The 6003-nt window shown below is 46.0% G+C and overlaps 1 annotated feature.

Annotated features, from left to right (window-relative positions):
• Nucleotides 2894-3083: a silencer, noted in NCBI's record as "fragment chr1:55501658-55501847 (GRCh37/hg19 assembly coordinates)". NCBI's record gives its function as "represses an EF-1alpha promoter that drives an FKBP-Casp9 reporter gene in an ReSE screen in K562 erythroleukemia cells {active_cell/tissue: K562}" and the evidence as "EXISTENCE:reporter gene assay evidence [ECO:0000049][PMID:32094911]".

Below are 6003 nucleotides of genomic sequence, written 5' to 3' on the forward strand. Positions count from 1 at the left end.
GTTGCCATGTAAGAAGTGCTTTTCGCCTCCTGCCGTGATTCTGAGGCCTGCCCAGCCATGTGGAACTGTAAGTCCAATTAAACCTCTTTTTCTTCCCAGTCTTGGGTATGTCTTTATCAGCAGCATGAAAACGAACTAATTTACCCTCCTCTGCTTAAAACCTGCCCTTAGCTCTCCACCTTCCCGGAGAAAAGCCAGAGTCCCCAGAATGGTTGGCGAGCTCCCCCAGGTCTGCCCCCACACCAGCCTCCAGCCCAGCTCTTCCTTGCAGGCTCCTTCCCATCTCTGGGCTGTTCCAGTCTGGGGCAGCACTTCTCCACTGTGTCCACGGCCCGTCCTCTCAGCTCCTTTCCTCCAGTGTTCTCTTTGCACACCGCCCTGTTTTAAAGTGCCAGGTCTCCCACCCTCTTCTCTTTTCCTTTTCCTCCATGGCACTCATCACCATCTCACACAGTACATGTTTGATTTGTCGTCTGTTCCGCCCTACTAGAGGGAGGGCTGCACAGGGGCAGGGATTCTATGGATCTTGTTCACTGCCATACCCAGCATCTAGAACAGTCCCTGGTACATAATAGGTGTTCAGTAATTAACTCAGTCATTAAACATACATGTCAGGCTCTAGCTTGGTGCTAGGGATGCCAAGGATGACCTGACTCAGGCAGGTTCCCTGCTTATACTGAGTTCACGACCCGTGGGGAAGACAGATGCACTCTCTGACAGGTTTGCAGGCAGCCCTTTATATCTGTCACCTTCCATGTAGCCCCTACTGCACATGGGAGGAAATGCTCTCAAGTAGAGAGTTGCAGCCCTGTCTCCCCGACCTCAGGAGGGAGAGCCCTGAGCTCCAACCCTTGCCCTCTGGGGCTATGGGAAACAGCTGGAAAGGGAGTTTAAGTCCACTCTGACCCATAGCTGTGTGATGTGCACAAAATGCTCTCCCTCTCTGCCTCTCAATTTTCTTGTCTATTAAACAGAGATGATAGTCCCAGCACAGCATGTCCCACAGGGCTGGGGCGAATGAGACAGGAAGGATGAAAATGCTTTGTGGACAAAGAGGAGGAGTTCTAAGTGCTCCAAGAGAGGAGCCATGTTTATTTTACGATGTTATGTCTTTTGGGGTTTTTCTGAGGTGGAGTCTCACTCTGTTGCCCAGCTGAAGTGCAGTGGTGCAATCTCGGCTCACCGCAACCTCTGCCTCCCGGGTTCAAGCAATTCCCCTGCCCCAGCCTCCCTAGTAGCTGGGATTACAGGCACCCACCACCACGCCTGGCTAATTTTTGTATTTTAGTAGAGATGGGGTTTTACCATGTTGGCCAGGCTGGTCTCGAACTCCTGACCTCAATTGATCCGTCTGCCTCGGACTCCCAAAATGCTGGGATTACAGGCGTGAGCCACCGCACCCAGCCTATTTTACAATTTTAAACATGATATAACTGTAGAATGCAGACATCAAGACTCTCTTATAATTCCATTTGGGGTCTGTACCTTAAATCTTATGTTGTTTATGCAGAGACAAACATTATATATACAAATGTAACCACTTTATTGAAATGGGATCATAACATGCTGTTTAAAAGTTATTGATGTTGGACATCTTTCCATGTCAATATATAAACCTCCATTTATTTCTTTTTACCAGCTGCCAAATATCCCACCATATGAACAGACTAAAATCTGTCCCTCCATTGATGAATGTTTGGATTGCTGAACCCCTGGAAGAAATTCAATAAGAGCAAACAGAAGTGTAATATATGACACCCTGGCAGATCAAAGTGAGAGTTTTATTAGAGGAGACAGTAAAGCTGGTGGAGCGGGGAGAGCTAAGTGAATCAACATGTTGCAGTCGGAGCCAGGACTCATACCACCCCAAGAGGCAGGAGGCAGCGCAGCCAGAAGGGCACTGAGGAGCCATGGCCACAGCTCCCTGTGGCTCCCAGCAGCGGGACCAGATGCAAACTTCCCACCCCACCACATGTCTGGGCTTCCTATACCCTGTTCAGTCTTTACTGAGTCAGAAGCTGTTTTAAGAGCTGAGCACACCCATTTTACAGCAGAGCTTCTTACGGAAAAGCGTGCTGCTGTCCTGGACCCTTTGTCCATCCTGGGCCATTGGGCCAGCTCCAGCCTCATCCTTGAATGGTGGGTGTACATCGCTGGGGTCCTTGCTAGATTATATTAGGGCCTCCACACACTTTAGTTGCTCTCCGTTTGCACAATGATTTCTATATCATTAGTACCTCTTTGTCCACTTGCCTAATTATTTCCTTAGGATAAATTCCTAAGAAATCAAATAGCTAGGTCAGTATATAGCACATTTTCACAGTTTGCTACTGACTAGAGATATTAAAGGTACAAAAACAGCCAGAATTAGATGTAGAGTCGCAAGGGAGTTTTGTTACTAAGACGTCATTTCTAATCAGGGAGAAAAAATGAGTTACGGAATAAACGGTATTGGAACAATAGGCTAGCCTTCTGGAGAAAAATAACCTCACTCCTTATACAAAAGTAAATCCCAGTGGAAGCCAAGATATTAAAAAAAGATTTAAAAAAGGAGGACAATTTTTATATGATCTTGATAAGGAGGAGGCCTTTCTAAGCACAGTACAAAATCAAGAAGTCATGAAATAAAAGGCTGATAAGTTTGACTCCATGAAAATTAAAATTTTCTATGGAAAAAAATACAATAAAGTCAAAAATCAATCAACAAACTGGAAAATAGATTTGCAACATACATAAGAGACAGCAGGCTAATTTTGGTATTATACATAAAAAGCTATTACAAATCATCAAACAAAAGCTCCACAGCCAAAATGAAAAAATGAAGAGACAGTTCAAAGACAAACAAATGTAGATAATTGTTTAACTTAAGGAAAGGTCAAAATATTTGGCAACTCTGTGTTGGCCTGGGTGTGACCATGAGCGGTAGTTGCCAGTGGTATTCACAAATATACCCTTTCTCCTCCTTCTGGGCACTTGGTGTGATTGCAGTTTCCTACATTTGACCTTAGGTGTGGTCATGTGTCTCGCTTAGGAGAAGGAAATGTGAACGGAAGTGTTGTGGGTCACTTTTGTGTGGAAGCTGCATGGAGTCACCTCTTTGCTTTCCGTCAGCCTCAGTGTTCAGCAATGTTCTGAATGATGGTTGCTTTATCAGTCTGGTTCTGGGGTGAGGGTAATGAAGTAGTGAAGCAAAGTCCTTGATGGACATGTGAGGTGAGACAGAAATAAACCTTTGACATTTCAAGCCCCTGAGATTTGGGGCGTGCATGTGCTGGAAGCAGAACCTAGCCTATTCTGATGGATTCCTCCAGCACTGCTCGTGGGAAGACATCATCAATATAGAGCATTCATGTGCCCTTTATCTCGAAATTCCACTTCCAGGAATTTATGAAACAGATACTCTCACATGTGCAAACAGCTATGGATAAGGACAGACATGGCAACTTGGATTGCAATAGCAAAAGACAGAAACAACCAACGGAAACACCAACCAATAGGAAATTGGCTAAAGACATTGTGAAACATACATAGAATGAAATAATCTGCAACCAGAAAAATAAGGCAGTAGATGTATGTGTACCAGTGTGGTTTTTATTCCGAGATTAGGGCTAGGTTAAGACGTCAGATTAAGTTGTCCCTCTCCACCCCACCAATATAAATAAAAAGTTAAAAGTAAATCATAAACTATTTTTACAATTTTAAAAAGTGGGTTAAAGAGCCCATCCAAGTAGTTTTATAAAAGTAGACTATCTCCGAAAAGATACCCAATAAATAGGTATATTACTTTCCTGGGGCTGTTATAACAAGTTTCTACAAATTTGCTGGCTTCAAATAACAAAAACGTATTCTCTTGCAGTTATGGAAGCCAGAAGTATGGAATGAAGGGTTGCAGGGTGGTGCCCTCTCCCAAAGCTCTAGGGGAGGAACATTCCTTGCTTCTTCCAGCTCCTTTGGGGGCTCCTGGCATTCCTTGGCTTATGTCGGCACAGCTCTAATCGGCGCCTCCATTGTTACATAGGTGTTTCTGTGTCTCAAGTATCTCTCCCCTTTCTCTTCTGATATCAGTCATTGGATTTAGGGACCATCCTAAACCCAGGATAATCTCCTCATGAGATCCTTAGGTCAATTACATCTGCAAAGATCTCATTTCCAAATAAGGTCACATTCAAAAGTACCAGGGGTTAGTCTTAGACTTATCTTTTTGGGGGACACGATTCAACCCACTACCGTGGGTAACAGTGGTTTTCCCTCAGAAGGTGGTGGTTCAGGAGTGGGAGGAAGATGAACTTTTCACTGTATATCCTTTCAAACTATTCACGTTTTAAAAAAAACATTTTCATGTAAATTTAAAAAAATTGAACATTCACACAAAAAGATGCCCCCTCCCTTGCAAAAAAGAGTATGCCCGTTCAAAATGTTGAAATGTACACTCACAGCAATGGTGGCTGCAGACTCCAAGTTTCTGAGGTTGGAGAAGGTAGCCAGGGAGCATAAAAGTGAGTTCTATCTACTCATTCAGTCTATGAGGGGAAGGCAATGGCTAGAAAAGCATTTTGAGGGACAGTAAAAGTGGCATTTTTAGAGGGAGGAAGCCTTGAGGATGCTTGTGGGGTGAAGGGAAAGAATAACTCAGGAAGAGGCATTTAGGGATAAGAGGAGGAGAGGAGATAGTGGAGGTAGGTGATCCCTGCGGAGGCCAGATTGGGGCAGGGGAGTGTCAGCTGAGTATAAGAGGATGGTCCCCTCTGCCCTGAAGGAGGAAGGCAGGAGGGGAAAAGGATGGGTGTTGACCCAGAAAGCACTTGTGGTGGAGGGGAGGCCCCAGAAGAGGCTTCTGACTTACCCTGATTGCTGGTACCTCTCAGGGGAGCTGGCTGCTTATTTGCTGGCCAGGGTGTGGGGGAACCCATTTGAGAAGAGGGAGAAGGTGACACAATTCCTTTGGGCAACTTATGGGAGGGGTAATTGGTGAGGGATGAAAGCCCTGCCAAGTGGCAGGAGGCCCAGCTGGGGCTGCCCCTCATAAGAGTGCAGTGGAGGATATGGGATGAGAAGTGACTGCCCCTCTGGTTCCATCTGTCGCAGAGCCCAGGGTGCTTCCTTCCTCCCCCACCTCCCTCAGAACACACCCACTGCATGCTGGACAGCAGCCCCCTTCCTGGGCCTGGGGACATCCATGTCCCTCTGTGCACAGGCTTCATCATTCTCTGGGTGCACGGTAACGACCCCGGTAGGTGAGAGGCCAAGGTCCCAAAGGGGAGCAGCAGGGAAAGTTAGCTCCCATCTATTCTTGCTCCAGGGGAGGCCTTTGATGAGGAAGCTGCCAAAAGCACATTGCAAATACAATTCCAATTACAGGCAACAGGAAGGAGAACCACCTCTGCCACCTCTGTCAGCAAACCATGAGCTCCTACTCTGTGCTGCGATGGCGGGCTCGATGGGGATAACTCTGACCTTACCTCATGGAGTCACTGTCAACCCACTGGTTGCACTGTCTTTGTGCACTGGCTCTCTGGAGTGAGGTCTTTGCAAACAAAGTGGAAAGAGCATCAACTTTGGACTCCAGCACCTAGATTCAGAGCAGGCCATTTCACTCGGAATCTGCTGTGCATCTGCAAGGGAGGATCATAAATTCGCCTTTGTTTCTTCCCAGTATCGACAGCCCTTCCAGAAAGAGCAAGCCTCATGTCATGCCACATGTACAATCTGAGGCCAGGAGCTCTCTTTCCCCTTTTCATCCTCCTGCCTGGTACACAATAGGTGTTTACTGGATGCTTGTCCAGTTGATTTCTTGAACATGGTGTGTAAAAGGAATCTTTGCAAATTGAATCTTCTGGAAAGCTGAGCTTGTGCCTACCATAGAATTCTGAATGTACCTATATGACGTCTTTGCAAACTTAAAACCTGAATCTTTGTAGTATAAATCCCTTGAAATGCATGTAGGCTGGACATCAAAAGCAAGCAATCTCTTCAAGGAGCAGCTAGTTGGTAAGGTCAGTGTGC

The sequence above is a fragment of the Homo sapiens genome, chromosome 1 (genome assembly GCF_000001405.40).
Source record: "Homo sapiens chromosome 1, GRCh38.p14 Primary Assembly".
In the NCBI taxonomy this organism is placed as follows: Eukaryota; Metazoa; Chordata; class Mammalia; order Primates; family Hominidae; genus Homo; species Homo sapiens.